Below are 27,361 nucleotides of genomic sequence, written 5' to 3'. Positions count from 1 at the left end.
CAGGATGTTCCAGTAGTACAGAGAATTTAATAAGTCCAAAACAAAGCCTATCATCTTGATTTCCAGTATTTCCCTCTTTCTGCCTCTAGGTTAATGTTGCCACCATTCTCTCAACCATTCAAACCCAGAATCCTACTATCTTTTACTAGCCTTCATTCTCCTTCATCCTATTGCCTTCCTCCCATTGCTTACCTGGTTTCCAAGTGTAATTTTAAAATTCTTACTAGAAGCCTTTATTTCTGTTGTCTCCCTAATTTTTCCATTATCATATTCTTGATTCATGTTGTCATTAACTCACAGTGATTACTGTAAAGACATCTTCACTGAGTTGTCTTTCTTTGCCCCTGAAACCCAACTTATAAATAACTTGCATTTTTGTAGCATGTTACAGCTTACTGCATGCTTTCACATACATCGCTTTCCTCCACAAAGCAGCCTCCAGTGACAGGGAGATTAAGAATTATTCTCCTCATTTTATGAGGAAGCCTTAGAGGTGAACTGACTTGCCCAAGGTCACGGAGCAAGTGAGTGGCACAGCTACAATTCAACCCCAGGACTAATTTCCAAGGTAGGGCTTTCCAGCTATCCTGCTGCCAAAGTTGTCTTTCCAAACAAGGCTTTACCAGGTCTCTGCTGCATAACACGTGTGCTGGAAGGCAAGCTGCCACCCAGGAGCTGTGTTGCAGAGCTGGCTCCCTCTGCTTGACTCCACCAGTCCTGCCCTCCTGCCTCAGAAGAACCCCACCTGCTGGCACACTCTCAGGGCCACAGGCAGCACTATTGAAAAGTGCTAGAGCTGCCCCAGTGGCATTTACCTTGGCATCTGGGGTCTAGGTAATTCAATCAACTCAGCAGCTCTCCAGTGGGGCCTTTTAATCCTATAAACTCAGCAATACTCCCGGCCATATCCTCCACCTGCTGCCAGCCTGTCACTAAGTGCCTCTACCCTTCTCCCCAGCCTATTATCTGCCTTCTTCACTTGTTGCTGAAATTACCGCCTGAGACACAGAACTCTGTTTTCCCCCATACTCCACAACTACTAGCTTGGTGAGCCCAGCTTTCCCCACAGAGGCAACAAGTGTTTAACAGAATCCATTAATCATCAAGTGCCTTGACAGGTGCTAGGGACACAGAGTTGAAGGCCAAGTTCTTGTCATCAAGAACCACCTGCACCTCTATTACTTATCCACTCTATCTTCTGGGTCGTCTGAGCTATCATGAGTCATGTTCTGTTCATCTTAAAGTTCTTACATTCCTGCATTCTTTCCATCATTAAAATTTGACTTTCTGTAAAGGTATTACTTGCCTCATAACCCTCTGTAATATCCCCCACCCCCTCTCATTCGCACCAGATCACCACAGTGCTCCTTCCAGAATCTGTGGACCACTAACTCTCATCATCATTCCTTAAAGTCTGAAGTCCACACTATTCACTAACACCCCTGTTCCCATCTGCTTTGCCATGAGTGAATCCACTCCTTCATGTTCTCTTTTTGAGGACAAAGGAGACTGAAATGTTTGAATTCAAACACAGGCTGAAGACCATGAGAAGACAGTCCCCTATAGAAAACTATAACAGAGAATACAGGCCACCTATCTCTCTCCCGTTGTCCTCTATTCACCTTACCCTTCACCAAGATCAAAATCTTCTATACTCCTCAAATTAATCTTCATGTTCACACATTATCCCAGAGCTACCTGGACTACCTCCTGTCTGTCCAAGTGCCATGCCTTCTTCAGAAGGGAATTAAATGTCTCTCCACCACCACCCGGGTCTCACATGAGTTATACCAACATGGATTTTCTTGACTACCTTCTGCATTCTCCCTTCTGGTAAATTATATTCAATATCTACAGATGGCAAAATTTGGGCAGGTTTACAGGCCAGGCTAAAGAGTTCACATTTAAAGTCTTAAAGAAATTGAAAACCATTATGGATCTAATCAATGTTGTCCAATAAAACTTTCTATGATGCTCGAAATGTTCTGGACTGTCCACAGGTGCCTACTGAACACTTGAAATGTGGTGAGTGCATCTGAGGAACTAAAACCTTGATTTTATTTAACATTAATTAATTTGAGTTTAAACAGCCCCATGTGGCTAGCAGAGACCACAGTGGGCAGCAGACTTCTAGACTAAGCTGATGCCACAATAGAAGAGTTTTTAAAAGGTGAGTCTGCTGCAGTAGGATGGAAGATGGTGTGCAGGGCATTTAGCAAGAGAATCCTGTCCCAGGCAATGATCTGGCCCAGAGATTTCCCTTCCTCTGGAAAAGAAAATAAAAATTCCTCTTCCCAATAACAAAGGCACTAGGAAAAGAAAAACAAAAAAAGAAGTTAGAGGTTTCCTAAATCCCTTCAAAAGAGCAAGACTACAAAACATAAGACACCTTTTTGTTTAGGAGTTTTAACTTGTCAAATTGGGAGTTCCCTATTGAATAACTCTACCAATAAGAGATTTTAATCGACTACAGAGAATACTGGCCTGTATTCTCTGTTATAGTTTTCTACAACATGTATACAAGTATACATGTATACTTTCATCAAGTCAAACACAAAAACAGTTTCCAGAAGGAATATATAAAAATTTTTTTTAAAAAATCACTTAATGTGTTGTCTGTCTTTTCCTTTCCACTTGGCAAACTTCAACCTTTTTTACTTTGGCACAGGTAAAATAAGAGCTTTCTCGTGAGGCAGAGTGAAGCTGGTTGAGCTGGTTGGGTAGTGTGGGGCACTCACATGCAATAAAGTGTGTGGCCAGGACAAGGGCTGCAATGTCCTGAGGCAGAGTTCACGTGTGGTCTCAGAACTCAATTAGATGTTACCCTTCTGCAGACCCCTGAGATGACCTGGTTATTTCCCTGCCATCCTCCACCTCTCATGAGGTCTGCACCTTTCCAGGACAACTCAAGCCGGGGGAAGAGCTACTGAGATATGATGTACTGAGGATAGCAAATGTAGAAATATCTAAGCTAGATGAGGGAAAAAAGAATCTAGCTCATTCTTCCCCAAATGCCTGTGAATATTAAAAGCATTTTAAAGACATCTATGCTTATGATGTCAAGTCAGAAACATATTCTCTAATTTGAAATTCCAATTTTCTGATCCAGACCACCAATCAGATCACTTGCAGTTAACCACTGCCTACCTATTAGAATATTTATCCTTCAAGGCACTACTGATTCTTAAAATATACATATACATTTTTTTTTCTTTTATTAAGATACAATATTTTACACGCTTATGGGTTACATGTAAGTATTTTTGACATGTATAGAATAAGGATCAAGTCAGGATATTTGGGGTCTCCAATACCTTGAGTATTTTTCATTTCTATTAATATATGATTGTAAAAATAATTTAATTATGTTAATTTGGTTTCTATAACATGAATCAAAGGGGGAAATGATTAATTATGGCATTTCAACTTAAAATGTCATTTTTTCACATGCAAAGCCCTCTCTGTAACTCCATCAGCAGCATCCAAGCCTGCCTGTCAAAGGTGAGCTTGTCCAACCCATGAACACCGGCACAACCCAGGAGAGTATTTTCAATACTCTTCCAAACATGTTCACTCTCTGAAATACACTAATCACAACAAAATTAAAGCCCAGATCTTCCAGAACATGTTTACATGATATTCTTGTCTTGCTACTTAGAGTGTAATGATTTCACATTCTATTAAAAGAACAAAAGATATTCACAAGAAAAGGTTGTGTTATCCCATTTCCCAAAATATTAAAATAAAAAGCTATCTGATAAAACTTATTATTTACACATATTTGCAAGTGTCTGAAAACAACTGGAGGTATTTCCCAAGGTACACCTCTACACCAGGCCTGATTTGATTCTGTCTGCCCTGTTCTACAACTCCTCTATCCACTAGGCTTGATTTTGACGGCGTAAATGTGTAAACACAGGATGCCCTCTGGAAAGGAAGAATGCTAGACATTTTTAAGCACTTAAAGATTGACAACTGCTGAGCAGTGGCCCCCAGAGAAATTCAACATGGTTTCCTCCACCTGGTATTACGGGTCATGCAATGCAAATCCAAAGAACAAAGCTGACACTATAGAGGTAACATTGCTGCCATTCCAAAAATTCTGCACTACTAGGGCCCCAAGGCTCCACCATGTCTGCTTCATATGCTCACCTTTACAAAAGGCAAACAATCTAGCTGTACACTCAGACAAGCAACTGAAACTTAGGGGCAAAGGGAAAAAGATAAAACAGGATGACTCGCATTTGGTTCCAGAATGCACCCATTAAAACAGACAACAGAAAGAAGTAAAGGGTCCTTCTAGACTTACGTCCTTTTGGTGACTGAAATTTGCTTTCAAACTACTCAGTAGCACGACCAGCAAACCTGCTATGTTCAAAAGCTCAAAATTATCTTTTGAAGGCGAGTGAGAAATAATTTGGATTTGGTTTAATTCTATAAGCAAATTCTTACTTCAATACCACTCCCATTCTGTCCTATTTACTATTGTGGTCATTCTAATTTTGAAAAAGTATTCAGGTTTTGCACTCCTAATAGTCACTACACGGGAGGAAACGTACTGTTGAGGATCTCCGGGTGGGGAAAATGTGCCAAGGAACACTCTTCCCCTCAATGTTTCAATTGCATTTAGCTCTCCAAGTCTGATGGGAATTTTATGCTCTTTAGAGAAAGGAGGAATTTGACACTCAAGTCTGTGGCAGGCACTGCAAAGCACTAAATACACCACTTCCCTGCAGCCCTTGCAATGAATCCATTCTAATCCTCTCTTGGTGAAAAGGATGGGCCAAGAGGCATCAGAGACATAAAAGCCAGCTTGCCTCAGCCAATTCCAGAGACCTAATGATCTGGTTTGGGGGCCTAAAGCTAACTGGAATGGAAACGATATATTATTGAAGGATGCATAATTTATTGAAAAGCCTATTTTGCACACTCACTTTCATACATGGTTGAAAACAAAAAATAAAGCAGCTAAAAGAGCCAAAGGTCCTTATAGATTTAGTTTTCGGGGGGGGACACATCTGGACCCTCATAGGAGTTCTGAGAAGACAACATGGCCAGGATGAATTTGTTCACACTAGCCTAAACAGGGGCAGAGGTTGGGTGGCTTCTCTAAGTGTGGAAACGTTACTTTGGGCCAGACAACCTTGAATGGTTGGCTTTTAACTAAAGACACTAACACCACAATATTTCCTAGACCTTCCCGAAGTCTCCGTTTATGGCAGGATGTAGCCATGGTGGAACCAAAGCCAGGTAGGATTCCATGACTGCAATCACACTGCCGAGTTTCCTCTGCTGAACCACAAAAAACAGCTTGTTGAAAACATTAGCTTAATGATGACAAAGCGGCATATGGACTATGTAATTTTCACCAAATTTTTGTACCATCTTTCACTTTTTCCCCTAAAATTGTTTCTTTTTCCCCTCCTTTCCCTGTGCAGAGCCAAGTCTAACTAGGACCACACAGGCAAATAAAATTATAAATACATCTGAATTACTGGACTCATTTTATAAGTTACTTCAGTGGCTGGCTTTCTTTCCATTGCCGTGAATCATTCTTTATCAGCCTAAACCATTTTTCCTACGCACCAATAGCTGTTTGGGTGGGATATATGGAAGATTATGATCAGATCTGTGTCTGGGGTAGGAAAAAAGCAAGCTTAGTAGAGAAACGAGTCAGCGTAGACAGGGAGCAATAAATGCCAATTTGTAAAACATCATGAAATTAAGGAAAATTAGCCAGTAGAGCTGTATGATTTTCCAGTACCACATTTGTTAAAATATGTTTGACTTCTATTTCTATAATTACATTGGTATCATACATGACAGGAGGACAGTTAGGAGAATCCATTTCCTGTGCAGTATACAGAAGTCAGAGTCTCTGCTTTGTAGCTATCCCAACTGGTCTCATTTGCCACATCATGGGTAATCTTCTTGTATCCTATCCAAAATTTCTGTGGCGTTAAACAAGAATCATCAAATAGAATTCCACATACATTTATAGAAGATCATCAGTATTCGCTGTTATAGTGTCTGCAGAACTCTGCTAATAGTACAATCTGAAAATCACAGGAACAGTGAGAGGCGGAGGAGAAAGCATTCTGTCCCTCATCTCCTTGCCTTGTCCATCATGGTAGGAAAGAGGCAGGGTTGAATGGAGAATTAATGCTAGCCTGGGAGTCCTGTGATTTTTAATCTAATACACTATTCATGTTTTCGTTCCAAAGAAGCTGGAGAGATTATTGCCAGAGAATACTGACCCTAAAAAATACAAGCTGACCAAAGGTTCTTGTCTCTACCCTGCTCCCTCCCTCTTTTCCACCAATCCCTTATATTATTCATGTCTCCCAAAGTCTCCAAACCACCAAAGCCTGCCCACTCCCACTCTGTAATTGCCTCCTTCTTCCTCTGTGACCCAGTCTCTTCCGGTCTCAAATAAGCATGTTCACAGTCTTAAAATGTTTTAATAGCTATCACATGCAAGGGAAATTAGATTGACTATATTAGCTCAAAAAGCCAGAACTGGGACCTACTGGTACAGATTTTGATCCTACCCTGGGGTCAGATTCATCTTTACTCCAAAAGGAGTAAAGCCACTGCCTGGCAACCAGCAGAGGCAGCTTCAGAAACGCTGACAGAATAAATTTAGAGAATGAAGAAAATAAATAGCAGCCAGAATGAGAAGATTGCACTTGAGAAATATTAAATGTCCTTTTTTTAAAAAAAGAACAAAGGTGGCACAGATTTGAAAAACCAATTCCTTAGAGTTTTGAATTGAACTCCCCTTGCCAAACGTGCTAGAAAAGAATATCTTCCTGCCTCCATTCCCACCCCAAAGAGAAATGGAAAGACTCTGCCAGCAAGACAACACACACTGCAGTGATGTTGTGAGAGGCAGCCAGCACTTTGGAGAAAAGCTGATGATGCCACAGTCTGAAAAAACAAAAGACCTAAGATACTTTCTCTATGGTGCCTTACAAGGATAAGTTGAAAGGGAGTCAGAACATCCTTGGGCATCTTTTACTGCCTCTCTATGAAAAAAACTGGAATCTTCAAATAAGACAAAAGTATATATACAGATAGGCCCCCCGAACAAACATATGAGAGACAGGCAGGCAGGCAGACACTAACTTCAAGTTGATACCCATCCAAGATGGACTCTATGACCTACAGTGTCCCCCACTGAGCAAAATAGTACGCTGCTCTATTGGGGAACCTGCCCCGATATTCATGTAGGTTCTTTTCTATTTTCCTTAAGTGTTGGCCAGCTTGAGAAATAAAGGGACAGAGTACAAAAGAGAGAAACTTTAAAGCCGGGCATCCGGGGGAGACATCACACGTCGGTAGGTCCCGTGATACCCCACAAGCTGCAAAAACCGGCAAGTTTTTATTAGGGAGTTTCAAAAGGGGAGGGAGTGTGTGAATAGGTGTGGGTCACAGACATCAAGTACTTTACAAGGTAATAGACTATCACAAGGCAAGTGGAGGCAGGGCGAGATCACAGGACCACAGGACCGAGGCAAAATTAAAATTGCTAATGAAGTTTTGGCCACCGTTGTCATTGATAACATCTTATCAGGAGACAGGGTTTTGAGATCAACCGGTCTGACCAAAATTTATTAGGTGGGAATTTCCTCTTCCTAATAAGCCTGGGAGCGCTATGGGAGACTGGAGTCTATCTCACCTCTGCAGTCTCGACCATAAGAGACGACCACACCCAGGGGGGCCAGTTTAGAGACCTACCTCCAGGTACACATTCTCTTTCTCAGGGATATCCCATGCTGAGAAAAAGAATTCAGCGATATTTCTCCCATTTGCTTTTGAAAGAAGAGAAATATGGCTCTGTTCCGCCTGGCTCACCGGCGGTCAGAGTTTAAGGTTATCTCTCTTATTCCCTGAACAATTGCTGTTATCCTGTTCTTTTTTCAAGGTGCCCAGATTTCATACTGCTCAAACACACATGCTGTACAATTTGTACAGTTAATGCAATTATTACAGGGTCCTGAGGCGATATACATCCTCCTCAGCTGACAGGATTGAGAGACTAAAGTAAAGACAGGCATAGGAAATCACAAGAGTATTGACTAGGGAAGTGATAAGTGTCCATGAAATCTTAACAATTTATGTTTAGAGATTGCAATAAAGACAGGCATAAGAAACTATAAAAGTATTAATTTGGGGAACTAATAAATGTCCATGAAATTTTCACAATCCACGTTCTTCTGCCATGGCTTCAGCCGGTCCCTCCGTTTGGGGTCCCTGACTTCCCGCAACACTGCTCCACTATACCTGTCCAGAGGCTGCAGACACAGCTGAAGCAAGACACTTAACAGAACTGCCAACAAGAAGAAAGGAAGTAAACAAACTTTTCAGTCATGAAATTGATGAGGAACCAGCTCCATGATTTCACATATAGGTCAAGCTTGCAGTGTTAGTGGCCCAGTGTGAGTTGGACAACAATCAAGTTGTGACTCTAGGTAAAGCCTTTAGACTAAACTGTGCAAATGAGCACATAGCTGGACTGCAAGTAAATCTACAAGTTTCTAATTAAGGCATCAGGAGGAACATCATCTAAGACATAAAGTGTTGCTACCTGTTTTTCTCCAGGGTAGTCAAAGAAGAGGCTCTTTCAGGCTCCGCAAATTCATTTAAATTTTAAATCACATTTATGTTAGCTATACAGGTGTGCCAGCCAAAAGGTGGTAAACCAGTCTTCTGAAAATGGGAAACCATTTTCACCTTATATAGCTAAACTGAAATAATCATTTTTTTAGCAAATATTAGTAAACATTTAAGACAGCAGGGCATTGTGCCAGGAAATTCAGAGAGGGAACCTGCAGCAAGGGGGAAGAGGATGAGAACAACCCACCTCAGACTCCATCCAGCTCCCAGGGCTCAACACCAGGGCAAGAGACTGCAGAACGTCTGATTCAATAACCTCAGGCAGAAAAGGCTGCCTGAATAACAGCATGTTTCATTGAAAATATTCATACTTAGATTTCTATGCAGTGGGACTATCTTCCTTCAGAAGGAACTACCAAATCACATCATACAAAATGGTGGAGTAGGGCACTCAAACAAGTGGTCCCTGAACTAAAATAATAAGTAAGCTAACAAATACTGACACAACCAGCTTTTTCAGAACTCTAGGAGTTAATTAAAAACCTATGATAGTAAGGAATATGCCGAATGAAGAAAAAGGCAGCTGGATTTGAGTAAGAAAGCGCTGGGGTCTTTTCTCTCACTTGCCCACCATGCTCTAACCCCAGCACCATAGGGCAGCCATGGGGATGGTGGCCTGCCCTCCTAGTGTGGCTTGCTGGTATCAGGGAGCTAAAGTAAACCTTATTCTTAAAATACTGCAGGTATGTATTTTGACCTGCCTGGCTGTTCCCTGAGGGGCTGCACAGAGGCTGGTACTTGTTTCATTCCTGCTCCCTTGGGCTGCAGTGGCATTTCAGGCAGCAGTGGCATCTGTTGAAAGATTTCAAGACACACACTACCTATGCCTCGGACAATGGATGGGGAAGCAACAGACAGACCAAAAAGCAGGGAAGGTGGAGGCTAAGAAGGAAGTTTCTAGAGGGAATAAAAACTAGTAAGGGACAGACCAAAAAGCAGGGAAGGCAGAGGCTAAGAAGGAAGTTTCTAGAGGGAATAAAAAATGTATACGCTGTGGAAGCTAGGGTGAAAAATCCATGCCTAGGACTGCCACATGCTTGGAGAAGACCTGAGAGGACCATAGGTTTGCCCCACTGGTGGATCTGTGGGTTCTGCACAGCAGGAGGTGAAGGCTAAGGCAGAGTCATGGGTGACCTGGTTTAGCATTGAGGGAATGACTTAGGTCAGAACTAAGCTGCAAAGACTAGAAAAATGTTTGGTGTTTTGTTTTTTTCTTTTCTTTTTGGTTCCAGACATTTAAGGAAATCCTCTGTCACATAACTGGCTGACCAATGAGATAACAAAATGGAAATGTCAGTAACCATATGTCAACAGAACAGAGGCTTCAGTAATGATACACAGTAAAGAATGCAACCTTTGGAAAAATCACTAAACAGATGGCAGCCCTCAAGAGTCAACAATAATAGACCGTGGTTAGGGGAGAGAATCTGATTTCCAGGGATACCATATAACAATATTCAAAACAACTAGTTTTCAAAAAAAAAATTACAAGGCATACCAAAAAACAAAAAAGTATGTCCCATTCATAGGAAAAAAATAAATTGACAGAAACTATTCCCCAAGAAGCTCAAACACTGGGCTTACTAGACAACAACTTTAAATTAACTGTCTTAAATGGAAATGGAAACATGGACAAAAAAAGTAGAGGAAATAAAGAAAGCAATGTATAAGCAAATAGCTAATATCAGTAAAGAGATAGAAATTATAAAAACGAATCAAACAGAAATTCTTAAATTGAAAAGTTTAACTGAAGTAAAAAATTCACTAAAGGGGTTCAATAGCAGAAGTGAGCAGGCAGAAGAAAGACTCAGCAAATGTGAAGATACTCCTATGCATATTTTATATACTGTTAAATCATACTGAGAAGTAGAAAGAAAAAAGAAGAAAAATAAGCAGAGCCTTAGAGACCTGTGGTATACTATCAAGCATACCAACACATGCAAATGGGAGTTCCAAAAGAAAAACAGAGAGATAAAGAGGCAGAAAGAATATCTGAATAAATTATAACTGAAAACTCCCAAATTTGATGAAAGACATGAATCTACATATCCACAAAGCTCAACAAACTCCAAGTAGGATAAACTCAAAGAGATCTATGTTGAGACATACTATATTCAAACCATCAAAAGCCAATAACAAAAGAGAGAATCTTGAAAACAGAAAGAAAGAGGCAACTTATTATACACAAGCAATCCTTAATAAAATCAACTGCCAATTTCTCATCAGAAACCATGGAGCCCAGAATACAATGGGGTAAAATATTTAAAAAGCTGAAAGAAAAAAAAACTTAACCAAAAATGCTATGCTTGGCAAAATTACTAAAATAAAGGAGAAATGAAGACATTCCCAGATATACAGTAGCTAAAGGAGCTAGGCCTGCCCTATAAGACATGCTAAAGAGAAATACTTCAGGCTGAGAGGAAAGGACATTTCATAGGAACTCAAAGCTATATGAAGAAATAACAATCACAGGTAAAGGTAACCATAGGTAAACATAAAATTCATTATTTACGTATTTTGGGGTTGTACCACTTCTTTTTCCCAGGTGATTTAAAAGACTCGTGCACAAAACAATAACTATAAATCTATATTAATACAATATACAAAGATAAAATTAGTAAAAATAACATAAAGGGGGAACAGAGCTATACAGCAGCAGGGTTCTTATATGCTATTGAAGCTACACTGGCACCATTTCAAACTAGAATGCTATAAACTTGCAATATTAATTGTAATACTCATGGTAAATCAGTAAGAAAATAACTAAAAAGTATACAGAAAAAGCAGTGAAAAGGGAATCAAAAGGGTACACTAGAAAAAAAAATCAAACACAAAAGAAAGCAGTATTAGATGTTAAGTGAAAGCAGCCAGGCATAAAAGGTTACACATATTGTCTTAGTCCATTTTGTATTGCTATTAAAGAATATCTAAGACTGGGTAATTTATAAAAAAAAAAAGAGGCTTATCTAGGCCACAGTTTCGCAGACTGAGGAGTTCAAGGACATGTCCCTGGCATCTGACAAGGGCTTTCATGCTGCATCACAACATGAGATGGAGAGTGGGAAAGAAGGTCAAAGTGGAAACAGATATGTGCAAAAAGAGGGAAATGCAAAGGATGTCTTAAGGGAGTTAACAACTGACTCCCGTGAGAACTAATCCTTTCTCATGAAAATTAATCCATTCTCCTAAAAATGAGAACTCACTCACTACTGGGAGAACAGTACCAAGACATTCATGAAGGATCCACTCCCGTAACCCAAACACCTTCCAGTAGGCTCCACTTCCCAATACTGCCATGCTGGGGTTCAAATTTCAACATGTGTGTGTCGGTGGAGGCAAACAAACCATATCTAAACCATAGCACACACTGTATGATTCCATTTACATGAAATAATCAGAGTGGGTAAATCCATAGAGACAGAAAACAGACTGGTGATTTTGAGGGGAAAGAGTTGAGTTACTGTTTAATGGATACAGGATTTTAATTTGGGGGTAATGAAAATGTTTTGGAACTAGACAGAGGTGGTGGTTGCAAAACATGAATGTACTAAATATACTGAATTGTTCACTTTTAATGGTTAGTTTTATGTTATGTAATTTTTACCTCCATAACAAAAAGTAAGCTGGGGCAAAAAAAAGTAATGACTTCTAATTTTGTTTTCATTCTGCTTATGGTAAAAAAGAAAACAACCACACTTATTTCTTTTAAGAACAGACTGAATAAAAGTACTTTTTCTAAAGAGATAGCAGAAGTAGTTTTGGCTACCTCAGCCTTATCTCTACTCAGAAAACCTTAATTCAGTTGCAAATCCATTTTGAGGTTTTACTACCTTGAACTAGTCTCCCTGAAAGCAAAGTTAAATGTATATACAGTTGTCATAATGCCTTTTGGTGTTGTCAAAAGACTCAGAGTTTAACATATGTAACAAAAAAAAGGAAAAACACCAAAAATACCCACATTTAGCCCCCACAACATCAAATGATAATTGTCATAATTAACTCCTATATTTCCAATAGCAAAACTTAGCTTGGAATCATTCATTTAAAAACTAATATTCTGGCCGGGCGTGGTGACTCACGCCTGTTATCCCAGCACTTTGGGAGCCTGAGGTGGGTGGATCACCTGAGGTCAGGAGTTTAAGACCAGCCTGGCCAACTTGGTGAAACATCATCTCTACTAATATATATATATACACATACATACACACACACACACAAAAAATTAGCCGGGCATTGTGGCAGGTGCCTGTAGTCCCAGCTACTTGGGAGGCTGAGGCAGAAGAATCACTTGAACTGGGAAGTATAGGTTGCAGTGAGCCAAGATTGTGCCACTGCAATCCAGCCTGGGTGACAGAGCAAGACTAGGTCTCAAAAAAATAAAAAATAAAAATAAACAAATAAATGACGAATTAATAAAAACTAATATTCTTAAGATTCAATAATTAAAATGTTCCAAGAAACACCTTCCCGGGGAGTATAAATACCTAAATTATACAATGACAATACTTGAATACATGAAAGTAAACTAGCATTGCCCTGGGTAAACATTTTATAAATTTGGCCTGCAATCCCTTGATGTTCTTTCCATTGGCCAGTAGAAACTAAAAAAGAGAAACAGCATTCTTAACGTTAAAATTTTAAGCCTTATATATATTTTATAAATATATATTTATATATTCATTTTATAAAATATATTATGAACATATTTTATTATAAGTATATATAAGGCTTAAAAATCAAGCTCTGAGACAGGAGTGGTGGTGTGCATCTGTAGTCCCAGCTAGCTACCCAGGAGGCTGAGGCGGGAGGATTCCTTGAGCCCAGGAGTTCAAGTCCAGCCTGAGCAACATAGTAAGACCCCCACCTCTAAAATAATAATAATAATAAAAACAAATAAGCTCTGGGTTACAGAACCTATTCAATATGCTTGTTACATGCATCCATGGTTTCTGGAATTTAAGACAGAGGTACAGACTTATTTGGATGAGGCTCTTACATGGCACAGGCACAACAAGTCCCATATCCTTGGCCACATTTCACACATATTGCTAAGCAGACCAGAAAGAAAGTCATGTACCAGGGATTGAAAGTATGCCCCTACCATCTCTGCACCTGAGGAAAAAAAAGTCATCCAAATTCTGATCTACATGTTCTTTTTTAATATTTATTTTTAGAGACAGGATCTCCCTATGTTACCCAGGCTGACTTGAACTCCTGAGCTCAGGCACGCCTCCCTCCTCAGCCTCCCAAGTAGCTGGGACTACAGGTGTGTGCCACCATGCCCACCTTTGACCTATGTATTCTAAAATACCACTCAAAAAAGTTGAATAATCTGTTTTGACTTAGAGACAGGTTGATATAATCCTATCAACTGGTTACTAACCTGAATGCCAATGCTTATTAGGAAATAGTTCCCCTGCCCTGTGAAGGAAAATCTTGGGTTCACTGCTGCACCACACTGTGCACGGGGACCTCCGCCTACCGGGGACTCTGCCTTCGTTGCTGGCCACAGCCTTTGTTGCTTCTGCTGCCTTGTACATCTGGGCTCTGGAAGGATTCACAGCCACACTGCTCCTGGTCTCGACGGCTTTTTTTTTTTCAATCTCTGATGCCACAGAAAGTTATTTTCTTAATTCTATAACATTCTGGACCCAAGTGTAGATCTTCTTGACTATTTGCAATATTTCATTTTGTCTTAAATGTCAATCTTCTTTTAGTTAAAGCTCTCTCGCATTCAAGAAAATCAGTTATGTCCCATGTTACCGCAAGGAAAAAGGTATATGGTCACTAGATTCACAGAAGAAAATGAAAACCAAGTCTCAGGAATCCAGGTAGCAATTGGGATGTGGAAAAATCTTTCACATCTCTTGGATGATACCTCTGCTTCTCTCTGGGGATCTTTCTATATCTGCTTGATCAACTGGCTCCTTCTGGCTACCTGGTTTTGGATGCACAAGACCCATCAGAGCCAAACCCATCAGACTTCATCTGGCATTCCAGCTCCAGTAACCACTGCCCGCTGGCAACTGCTCTCTCTGGCTTGAACAGTTTCTTAGGGCGTTCTTACTGGTACAGCTTGTCTCTGAGCCAGTCTATCTCAGACTTCTACCAGCAGACCTACAAACGGGCATCTCCTGACAGTAACAGCCACAGTGCAATCGCTGAAGAGGGGCAAGATCATGTGACCAACTGCCCACTCCAGAAGAGGCGTGGGTGAGGAAGGAAATGATGACATCAAATATTGCTACATTTTATCTAATTTCATATTCTCTCTTACAACCTAATCAATATTTAAGGCCATTTACAGGTAACTTATTTTATTGTAAGTAAAGATCTTTCTTGTAAAGTAGGTAAAGACCTTTACTTACAAGAAAGTAAATTACCACAGCCATTATTCATCTTCTAATTTCTTCAGTTTTTGTTTGTTTGTTTTTGTGAGACAAGGTCTGGCTCTGTTGCCCTCCCAGACTCAGGCCATCCTCCCACCTCAGGCTCCCGAGGAGCTGGGATTACAGGCGCCTGCCACCACACTAGCCTAATTTTTGTATTTTTTGTAGAGACGGGGTTCCATCATGTTGCCCAGGCTGGTCTCAAACTCCTGAGTTCAAGCAATCCACCCACCTCGGCCTCCCAAAGTGCTGGGATTACAGGCGTGAGCCACCATGCCTGGCCGTCTAATTTCTATAGTTTCTAATTAAACTTCAGAATATTTTCCCCTCATTCTGTCACAGTAACTCTTAAAAGTTACAGGTTTGACAATGGTTTTAAATCACTTATGGTTAATAAAAATTCCTATTGAGGAGACCTCCACAAATGTCTTTCTTCTCAGCAAATGGCTAGAATAGAGGCAAAACTCAAAGCAGTCCTGTATACTATGGGATACAATAAAGTTCTATAGCCAGACAGTAATCAGGTCGAAGATTGCTTCATCTCTATATATCACCCAAACAACAGGTCTAGAACAAAGAGAATTCTAGTTCAGAAAAAGTAGCTGGTCTGCGATCCTTGAAACAGATAATGTCGGATGCAACTCTACAATCATGGGATAAAAGCCAGTGGCCCAATGCACCTCAGTGGCACACAAAAGATGATGGATGATGAGGCCGTGTGAATATTACATCAGGTGTCAAGGTTAAATTGAGACATTTGTACTCTAGTTCATTTTAATTGCAAAGCTGACTTAAAGAATACCTCTCCCATCTGCAAACTCATAAATGAGATTTGCCCAGCAATCGAAGAAAAAGTTCAATTCAAACTGTAGGGAAACAGCAAACTTGAAATAACTTATAAGAAAGAAAATTAAATTAATATTGATGCTAAAGTCACTCCTGCATTGAATTAACTTTCAGAAGGATTAGGCTGAATTTTATTAAACCTACGCATTCAGGTGCTGCATTGGCTTTGGAATTATTCAAAATTGAATTTGAATCCTGGCTCTGCCATGTCCCACGTATGTGATCTGGGCCAAGATAGTTATCTTATCTGAGCCTTAATGTCCTCAAATCTGCCAAGCAGAGCCTCTACACTGCATTTCAGATGCCTGTGCAGGTGCCCTGAGATGATCACCTAGTGGTATTCACACAATGCACAGGGAAGGGCAGCCATCAAATATCCATCTCCTGCTCCCTTTCTGCTATTTCAGTTCCAGATGAACCCCTTTCCTTTGCATTCGGGCTGATGCCACCCATCCATTTACTGACAGGGTGCTTGGAAATGACATAACACATGCATATAAAGATCTCATTGATATTCTAAAAGGATGCTGCATGCAAATATGACAGTTTACCCAAAGACACCTTCAGCACAGACCCAGGCTTCCTTAAACCTTTCAGGTGCTCAGATCCACCGGCTAATAGTGTTTCAAGGACCATCTGTAGCCTAAAAACAATGTTGCCAAGGGCTCATTTCTCACCCCCAGATTGGATTACTCACTAATTCATTTTAGGCCCAGTGATTATGAATTTATGTTTCCCTGAATAATTGTTTCTGTCTGCAGTGGCTCACTGTTCATTTACAGTCAGCTTTTTGACAGTCACAGGATGATTTCAAGAATATAATATTATACCAAATAATCCAAAAATCAAAAGACCTCTTCCCTGTTCGATAAAATAAAGAAAAAAAATATTCGCTAGGTAAAGTTAGAACATCAAAGTTAATCAGAGAGTCAGAATCCCATATAGAATCAGTCAAAAGTTAGGCTTAAATCAACCACATGCTAAGCCTATGAATTCTTTTTTCTTAAAAATGGGGAAATTATCAGGGGCAACGATAAAACATCGCCAAGAATGTAGCCCACAAAACAACTGGGGTGTGAGCTTCCTTTGTCTCCTGGTTAACCTCTGCACACTCATCATGGCAAGTAATGAGAGTAAATGTGTATAACAGCGCTTACAATATGCTATGTACTCTTCTAGAAATCTGCATATATTAACTCACTTTTATCCTCACAATAATGCTATGAGGTAGATGTTATTATTAACACCATTTTACAGATGGGAAGGTCCAGGCAGAGACAGCTTAGGTAATTTGCTCCTGGTCAGAGAGCTAGAAAGGACTAGAACCAGGATTCAAATCTAGGCAATCACACTTCAGAATTCTTAAGTTAATCACTACCTAATGCTGTCTCTAGTGTCCTAGGAAACAGATACTCAGTCCCTAAGATCCTCATTGTTCTTACTACCCATCTCTAAATGAATGATTTCATGTGTATAAATCACAGCTTCCCATAATCACTTAAATTAACATCTCATCCTTTCTACTCATGTTTGAATCCGATGCTTATTTTTGAAAAATCTTTATATAACAACAAATTTACTCATCACTCTCCAAGAATGTGCTGAATCAGATTTCAACACCCACTGGAAGGTTAAAAAGTAGGTACTCTGGGTAGGTCACACTATCCATGATTCAGATAATAGATCTCATCTCTTTTAATTTTTGCTTTCCCCAAGTAATACAAGGAAAGACCGTCTCTCCAGAGCTATGCAAATTGGTTTTAATCCTTCTTAAGTTCATAATCTTTTTCTCACCCTTTACTTAAGTCAATTTTTACTTTATTAAGTATATATTTGAGATATTACAAGTTAATGAGCAAGAAAGAAAAAAACAATCTTAGGTTCCTCTCAAAAATCTATATAAGTAATGACAATCAAAAACAAAAATTGTGTGGCTCTACCACAATGAAAACACCAGTCAATAAGCAAATGGATGAATATCAGCGGAATCAATAAAGGTACAAAGAGAGAAATAATTTTGACCTTTAATAATACCATGAATTATTTTAAGCTAATGTACACACCTAGACTTGGTAGGGGTAGCCTCGGCAGTGGCAGGTTTTTTGGGTGTGGAAGAGTAGTAGAACAGATGGTTCCTGTGGTCCGTATCTGATAGGCAGGCCAGGCTGTGTTCCTGGGTCAGAGCACCTGTGCATCACAATATCCTTGAGCTTCAAGGAACCTGCATTCCAATAGAGGAATCTAAATACCATACCCACATGTAGTGAACTCTGTCTCTGTCTCTCAGAGACGCACGTGTGAACACAGACACAAATGGGCCATCATTACAGGCTTATTAAAATGAAGAATCCCCTATATCTGTAACTTCCCAGTTCTCAAGAGCTGAGTTGTTGATATGCAAGCTACGCTCCCACTTCTCCATTCCATGACCATCGAATAAAGTCTGCACTGCTTGGCACTCACTTTTGGTTTTATGTATTGTCTTCATGAAGCCAAACAGGAAAGAGTCCCTTTTGGGGTAACCGGGATCCCCAGTAGCAGCATTTCCACGTATAGTATTGTTGAATTTACCTTAGCAAATGTGTGGAATATTACCAAGTTGTTGTGACAGCCCCTGCTCTTAAAGAGGTATTGTTTAATGAGGGAATATTTCCAGCTTTGTGACTTGGTTTATTGCTTCATATCTGAACATACTCTCTTTTTTTTTTCCTTCTATGTTTTCCACAATTCAATAATTTGTCATCTTTAGTTAACCTGGAGCACCCTTTTATGTTTGTTTTAGGTTTACAGTGTGGGATTTAAATTTTGGCTCCAAACTGCCATCTCTCTCTGCCAACATCATTCGTAAAAAGTTCTTCTGTCTTATTTGAGAGTGTGATTTGATATTAAAATTGATCCAACTTGCTTGCTAGCTATTTCTCAACTGCCCTCTGGGTGTCTATTCATTTACATCAGCCCGGGTACCACCCTGCCTTAAGGACTGGTGTTTTAAATTGGGCTCTAGTGGTTGATGGGTTAAATACTCTGTAGGTGCATTGTTACAGAATATACCATTGGACTTTGGGGCCCATTTATATTCCACATGAATTTCAGAATCACACAAACGTTGAAATGAAGATGATCTTTCTCACTTTAAGGAAGAAAACTCACACATGAGGAGGCATTCAAATATAAAATTGGTGAAAGGAACCCACTGGCTTCTCCCACTCTACCCAAGTTAAGAAAAAAGAAATAGACTTTGTGGAAGTCTTTCACAAATTCTGATATTTAGAAGAGCTAAACTTGTCCAACATAAAGGGCCTGATAGTAAAAGATTTTTTGTTCCTTTCTTACTGTGTACTATTACTAATAGAAACAACTGGCTTCAACTTGTTCTAGTTCATTAAAAATAAAAGGGAAAAAATGGCTAATAGCAAATTCAAGAGGGTAGCTTGGCTCTTAGTAATTTAATTCTAAATGTAATAACATGCTTATTAGAAATGGAAGGTCACTCTCCCAAAAATTTCCCTAAAGGCACAGCTGCCAAATTGACTTCTGATCTAGCCTTTACAGTATTATTAATTCAATGACATCACAAAGCTGGCAAGGGAAAGCTTCACGCTTGCCCTACAAAGACAGATAGCAGTGCCTTAGAGAGGTCCTTACAAGTTTCTTAGGAAAGTGACTTGAAAAAATAAAAGTCAGCTTACTTTTTCTTTTTCCCCCACCATCCTGATAAAGGACTACGAACGCTTTTCTCTCGCTTTTGGGAAAAGCCTACCGAACTGGATTTCCCACTTATTTGCCTTACATCTTTGCTCTGCCTTCATGCATTTGCAGCAAAGCATTCTCTTTCCAGTGGTGTAGAGATAGCTTATCTCAGGGCAAGCCCCTGGGATTTGGTCTAAGGTTAATACTGGAGAAAGGGCAGAGCATCCTCCAACGTTCCCCCAGCTCAGACAGACAACCATTGAAAGGCGCCTGGCATGCAGTTGGCCTCAAAACCTGACTTGGCAGCAAACTCTAATTAAATGAAACTCGATCGCAGAGTGCTTGTTGATCTTAACTTGCCTAAAGTTCCAGACTTGGACAGCAGGTTGAAACCTGCTATGATCATAATCAGCACAATCGATAGCTTTTAGAAAGAACTTTTTCTAAATAGATTTCAAAGGGTCACCTCCTACTATCTGTAACTCGAATCAAACGACCGTTTGCAAGACTGCCTGGAGTGACTCACTGGCTCTTCCAGGGAGTGAAGAGCTTGCACATACATAACCTTCTGAGGGAGACGATTTCTTAGGCAGCTTTTGCTGAAATAGATCATTCCATTTTTACCATCAACCTTCCTTTCCTCCTATGATAGGCCCTGCTACCTTTAATATTTCACAAATGCCAACAAGTAAATAATGGTGTAATAATATCATCAAATCTTACCTAGGTAGCAATACCCTTCATCCACAGCTCACCAGGAGCAGACTACAGTAGTACCAGGTTGAGTTTATTGACTCTTTGTAATCAGGGAGCCAGCAGGTGGGAAACTATGGGGTGGCTCTGAGCAAAAGAGCTGTAGGAGGGAATTTGGGCTCTTGTTAGATGATTTTGGGGAAAGTTCAGAGAAGTATGGTTTTGCTCTGGATTTGGCAGTGTCTGAAAGCAGAGGCAAATCTGTGACTGAATCTCTTGATAATTTTATCTGGAAGATAGGAAAAGCAAACAAAGTGAAGCTAACTCTTTTATTATTTTTTGAGACGGAGTTTCACTCTTGTCATCCAGGCTGGAGTGCAATGGTGCGATCTCTGCTCACTGCAACCTCTGCCTCTCAGGTTCAAGTGATTCTCCTGCCTCAGCCTCCCAAGTAGCTGGGATTACAGGTGCGCACCACCACCCCCGGCTAATTTTTATATTTTTAGTAGAGACGGGGGTTTCACCATATTGGCCAGGCTGGTCTCGAACTCCTGATCTCAGGTGATCTGCCTGCCTCGGCCTCCCAAAGTGCTGGGATTACCGGTGTGAGCCACCGTGCCTGGCCAAAGCTAACTCTTTAAAAAGTCAAGAAGTAGCAGTCACTCATATGAAGCAAGGGGAATGTCTGGTCATTTTTGGTGGTCTGGACACAGGTAATTCTAGAGGCACATCTGCCTCTATGGTAACACTTTTAAATTCTAAGTTTTCAAGTAATACAACTTAGATAATTTTTAGTGACAGCCAAATATCTGTTAGCTGAGGCAATCAATCAGGAGTTCATCACCTCTAAGTTATTAAGAAAAGAGTGTGCACGTCCCTACCAGTGGCCTTGGTGCCAAGTTGCCCAATCTACTCAAATCTTTCTACTAGTTTTTAATGCTTCCCTGAGTTCACTACTCCAATCTGTAAAACTGAAATTCTTTAGAAGATGATACTGTCAATTAAATACAATGGAAGAACCAAAAGTAACGTTACCTCCATCAAACTAACAAAACCTAAAAGGCAAAAGACAGGTCTCCCAAATATTTTGCAGAATGACAATCTGCTACTTCTGGGCCAGGTTTCATTTGTAGCAACTGCTCATTTTAAAGAGAAAATATGTACTAAATTACGTGTTAACGCACACAGTAGGTATTTCCTGAATGACCAAAGTCAAGCATTACATAATATGTTTTAACAAGGTCATCAGACTTCATTTTACCCAAAGATTCTAGAGTAAAAGTATCTGTTTAACACCAACATTTGTGTGTTACATAGATCATAAATATTTTCTTCCCATTACAAAAATTGCAAACTAGTGTGGTTGCAGCCAGCATCTAATCCAAGATTTATTTGGGCTATGCAGTACAGATTTCTGTCTCTTCTTGAAAAATCAGGAGTTCTGGAACACTGGGCCTGAATTCCTACAGGAAACAACTGCTTGGCAATGAGTAGTGGCTGAACATGCTCTGCTGCTGGTGACAGTCCCCATCTGGCCCATGAAAGACATTTATGTTGCTGTCTCACCCCCCCAGGCATCTGAGCGTGTAACTCCTGCTTCACGGAGAGGGACCCCGGGGCACAGAGTCAGTATCTGAGACAGGAGGGAAGAGATCACTGATGTATAGCAATGTGCTCACTAAACCATTCTCAGCCTCCTACACACCTCCAGACAAGGCAAAAGAGGATACAGACAGCTCCTCCTCTTATTTTGCACTTTGGTTTCCTGACCTGAACACCAAACTCATTTCATGTGGCTTTCTGGAGTTATAAAGTCAGTGTGTTAGGTCTTAAGTCTAGGCTTTTCCCCAACTCCCCTGGACAATATATATCCCGAATTAATGAAGAAAACTATCTGTCTTTTTTTTTTTTTTTTTTTTTTTTTTTTTGAGACAGAGTCTCGATCTGTCACCCAGGCTAGAGTGCAGTGGTGCAATCTTGGCTCACAGCAACCTTCATCTCCTGGGTTCAAGCGATTGTCCTTCCTCAGCCTCTGGAGTAGCTAGGATTACAGGCATGCACCACCATGCCCAGCTAATTTTTGTAATTTTAGTAGAGACAGGGTTTCACCATGTTACCCAGGCTAGTTTTGAACTCCTGGCCTCAAGTGATCCACCCACCTCGGACTCCCAAAATGCTGGAATTACAGGTGTGAGCCACCACACCCAGCTGAAGAAAATATATCTTTTTTTTTTTTTTTTGAGACAGAGTCTCACTCTGTTGCTCAGGCTGGAGTGCAGTGGCACGATCTCAGCTCACTGCAACCTCTGCCTCCCATGCCCAGCCAGAAAATGTATGTTAATAATAGGTTACAAATCTCAATGATCTGAATCCATTGGGACTTTTAAGTTTTAAAAAAATCAAACTTTGGCTGGGTGTGGTGGCTCACGCCTGTAATCCCAGCACTTTCGGAGGCCGAGGTGGGCAGATCTGAGGTCAGGAGTTCAAGACCAGCCTGGCCAACATGGTCAAACTTTGTCTCTATTAAAAATACAAAAATTAGCCGGGCATCATGGCACACACCTGTAATCCCAGCTACTTGGGAGACTGAGGCAGAAGAATCACTTGAACCCAGGAGGCGGAGGTTGCAGTGAGCTGAGATCATGCCACTGCACTCCAGCCTGGGCGACAGAGTAAGACTCCATTTCAAAAAACAAAAAAAAATCCAACTTTAAGTAATAGTGTGATTCACTAGGGAATCACTTCATTTTGCTAATGTGAGCACTTGAGCACTGTCAGCTACTGTTCTCCATGCATTTACGTGTGTAAACCTATTTGGTCCTCATGGTGTTCCTGAGTACTGATGGTGTCCATATTTTACAAAAAGGACACGAAGGCATAGGGTTTCAGCGATGGGTCCAAGGTTACACAGGGGGAGTCAGATTCAACCAGGCACTGGGACCCTGCCTGTGAATTCCTATCCCATTTGTTGAAAGACTCTTGGAAATAACAAGTGCAGTTGTATTTGGAAAGACGAGCTTGTTTATTTACATACATTGAAATCTAGTGACATCTCACAAGTTGGCAAAGTGACCTGAACTCCAATTCATTCTGCCCATTTGCACACGAATATTTCTAAAACCACATAAGGTACGTATCCCATTCACTAAAGTTTTATAAGTGATTCATTTAAACTACAGAAAATACATTGTCAATAATTGTATTGCAAGATCTAATCATGTACTTTCGGGTTTTTTGCTTTTTTTTTTTTTTAAAGAGATTTAGTTTGGGGCCACAAGCTTGGGAAGCAAACTACTGATGCTTAAGGTCAGTAAGGAATCTGTGAGACCATTCCCAGTTAGAGGCATCAGATAGCTGCTCGACCATCAACTCCTCTGGAGTGTCTTACCTCTCTACTGTGGGGAACAGCACAGTTGAGGGAGCATCTTGTTTCAACAACTGCAGAACTTCACTATTTCCTACCATCTCCAGTTCAACTGCAACAATAATAATGTTCTAAATGACATTAAGAGCTCCACTGATGGCTGGGTGTGGTGGCTCACGCCTGTAATCCCAAAACTTTGGGAGGCCGAGGTGGGTGGATCACCTGAGGTCGGAGTTCGAGACCAGCCTGGCCAACATGGCAAAACCCTGTCTCTACTAAAAATACAAAAATTAGCCAGGCGTGGTGGCAGATGCCTGTAATCCCAGCTACTTGGGAAGCTAAGGCAGGAGGATTGCTTGAACCCAGGAGGCGGAGGTTGCAGTGAGCTGACATTGTGCCACTGCACTCAGCCTGGGTGACAGAGTGAGACTCTGTCTTGAAAGAAAAGAAAAAAAGAAAAAAGAACTCCACTGAAGAAACAAGGACATCAGACCACCCACCATGGGTGAGTGCCTACTTCCTCAATGTAGAATGTAAAACTCTTCTAAGTCTTCTAACCCTCAGACAACCAACCACTTGTAAAAAAACACTTAGTCTCACTAAGAGATTAACCCAGTCTTTTTCCACCTGTCCACATCACCCTTCGGTACACTGGGCAGTTAACATAACCCTGGATGAGTACCAATTTTGGAGACTTCTGTTGAAAACAGTTGAATGCCAACAGATATCCCAAAGAGAGCACCTATAAGTGGGAAAATTCTCAGGATCACAGCAGCATCAAAATAAGTATCACTGATGGGCATTTCTATGTACCACCTGCACAGCGTCACACACAGGAAGACTTGGGGGGACTGTCTCCCCAGTGACAATGAAGGCAGAAAGGCGAAATAAAGGGAGATGACCTTCTATGTCTATATCTACAGTCCAAGGGCACAGACTAAGGACAGAACTCTCCCACTAGCAGGACTGTCCACCCAGTAGGAAACCCAGTACCGCCCACTGTCTGGTGATGAAACTCCCATATTTTATGTCCTGTAAAGCCAAAGGATGGCCTAGTGACTCAGTGCAATGACTTAACATCATAACAACTGTCTTCAAAACTCTACCAAGGGCAGGGCACAGTGGCTCACGCCTGTAATCCTAGCACTTTGGGAGGAGGCCAAGGCGGGCAGATCATTTGAGCCCAGGAGTTTAAAACTATCTGGGCAACATGATGAAATCCCATCTCCATAAAAATTACAAATATTAGTCAGGCATATGGCACACATCTGTGGTCCCAGCCACTCGGGAGGCTGAGGTGGAAGGATCACCTGAGCCCAGGAAGTCTAGGCTGCACTGAGCCCTTATCGTGCCACTGCACTCCAGCCTGGGTAATAGAGTGAGACCCTGTCTAAAAACCAAAAAATAAAACAAAACAATGACAGCAAAAACTCTGCTACCGTCCTTAGAAGCAACTCACTGAAAGGTATTCTATGAATGAGCAAAAAAGAACTGCTTTCTTTTCAAACCTAAAAAGAGCTTTGTTGGATTTTGAGGCAAACAACAGTTTCTGAGGGGCATTCTCCCTCATGCCTTACCTTCACAGTGTACAGGGAGGAAAGCAAATGTCCCCACCTTTCCCTCACCTTTCTTCCCAAGGCCAGCTCCTCCAGAGGTATCCCATTCACCTGGTTCTCTCTCTCTCGCCAGCATCCAGTCAGCACCTAATTGATGCCAATCACACCTCTTCACTCTGAAAGCTAACCCTTACCCTCTATCCTGAGTAAGTCTACCTTAGCTCATATGCTTATCCTCCTCTGCCTGAAAAGTTGGAACAGATTTCATTTGGCTTCTCTACATCTTCTCTCCTATTCCACCACAATCTCCACATTGCCAAAGTTATGTTGCTGAAGCAAGCATTCATGCATTCATTTAAGCAATTTATTAAATACCCATTGTGTGCGGTCTGCTCTCCTGATTAAGGAGACAACAGCAAAAACAAAAACAAAAATCTTGTTTTTAATTTAACTTTTATTTTAAAGTTCAGGATTACATGGGCAGGTTTGATATATAGGTAAACTTGAGTCATGGGGGTTTCTTATACATATTATTTAATCACCTAGGTGTTAAGCCTAGTACCCATTAGTTGTATTTTCTGATCCTGTCCTTCCTCTCACTCTCCACCCTCCAGTAAGCCCCAGTGTCTGTTGTTCCCCTCTATGTGTCCATGTGTTCTCATCCTTTAGCTCCTCCTTATAAATGAGAACATGTGGTATTTGGTTTTCTGTTCCTACATTAGTTTGCTAAGGCTAATAACTCCAGCTCCACCCATGTTCCTGCGAAGGTCATGGTCTCATTCTTTTTTATGACTGCATAGTATCCCATGGTGTATATGTACCACCTTTATCCAGTCTGGAAAGGACTCCCTATTCAATAAACGGTGCTGGGATAACTGGCTAGCCATATGCAAAAGATTGAAACTGGATCCCTTCCTTACACCATAGACAAAAATTAACTCAGATGGTTTAAAGACTTAAACAAAACAAAAAACCTTCCTGGACCTGAAGACGTTTACAATCCAGCAGGGAAGAGTGATTGCACTGAAACAGAGCACTGTAACAGAAGATGTAGATTGTGATGAAGTACACAGCAGGAGGTCATGACCTAGTGAAAAGTCTGAAGGAACATCCTGGGGAAGGGATGATTCAGCAGAAATCTAAAGCTTAAGAAATCATTAGGTACAGGTGGGAGTGTGGGCAGTGATGAAGAACATTCCAAATAAAAGGAAGAATGGCACAGTCAGTGCAAGGACAAGAGACACAATCCAGGAACTGAAAGAATCTCAGCAGAGCCAAAAGGCAGAGTGCGCTTTAAAAACTCTACTGAAAGAAAATCAGGAACTTTCCTATGCACCAATAAGAGCCAGTTAGAAAATCAAGGAAATTACGTATTTCTCACAAACTCAAAGAAAATAATTATGTAACAACACAAGTTTACACACAGAAGAAATTATCTTAACAACAAAGCAGTGGAAATGACATGGAAAAGATGATCACATACAACCAACCTTGTTCTGAATAACATGTTTAAATGAAAAATATCCTAAATTTTTTGAGGAGAAAGATGAGATACGTTTTAAAAAATAAGAATAAGGAAGAGGGAGGTCTAGCATTAATAAACATTAAAATATGTCATAAAGTTTGAATCACTAAGTCTGTGACGCTGGCACAAGACTGCTAATAGAACCAATGAGCCACAGAACAACCCCCAGCATACTCTGGAGTTTAACACACATGGTAAAGGAGGAATCCCAAACCAGTAATAAGGAAAAAGCTTGCTCAATGAATGGCGCTGGAACAATCAGGTAGCTATTTGGAAAATAAATATATTTAAATCAGTGGTTTCCAAACCTGATTGTGCATCAAGAACTGTCTATGATATATATTTTTTAAATATTCTGAGATTTTACCACCCCATCCCACCCCTACATTTAGTGAGTGCGGAAGGGAACTGAAGGGAACTGGGCAAATGTCTCTAAAAAGCACTTCAGGTGATTCTATCATAAAGCTGGAATTTTCAACCATAGATTTGAAGTCTTAACATCATAGGTCGGAATAAAATTCCAGATCAGAGACATAGTTTGATTACAGTTAGAGATACAAATAAAACTAATGTTAAAAAAATTTTTTTAATCTTTCATTTCTAAATAAAGGATGATTCT

The 27,361-nt window shown here is 40.6% G+C and overlaps 1 protein-coding gene across 12 annotated transcripts in view; it reads right to left on the bottom strand.

The window, feature by feature from the left end:
* The window catches only part of ATP8A2 (ATPase phospholipid transporting 8A2), a 653,878-nt gene that overhangs the window by 346,574 nt on the left and 279,943 nt on the right, over positions 1–27,361 (bottom strand). The window contains exon 25 of one of the 12 annotated variants that reach the window (XM_017020626.2): positions 17,957–18,135. The exons of the other annotated variants lie outside the window; for them this stretch is intronic. Coding sequence (XP_016876115.1) covers positions 18,127–18,135 — 9 coding nt within the window. The 3' untranslated portion in view covers positions 17,957–18,126. Of the gene's footprint in view, positions 1–17,956; positions 18,136–27,361 lie in introns of those variants that run through there. 12 annotated transcript variants of the gene reach the window in all.

This window comes from Homo sapiens, chromosome 13, assembly GCF_000001405.40.
Source record: "Homo sapiens chromosome 13, GRCh38.p14 Primary Assembly".
NCBI lineage: Eukaryota > Metazoa > Chordata > Mammalia > Primates > Hominidae > Homo > Homo sapiens.
Note: the sequence above shows the minus strand (reverse complement) of the source record. Positions and strands in the feature narration are given on the sequence as shown.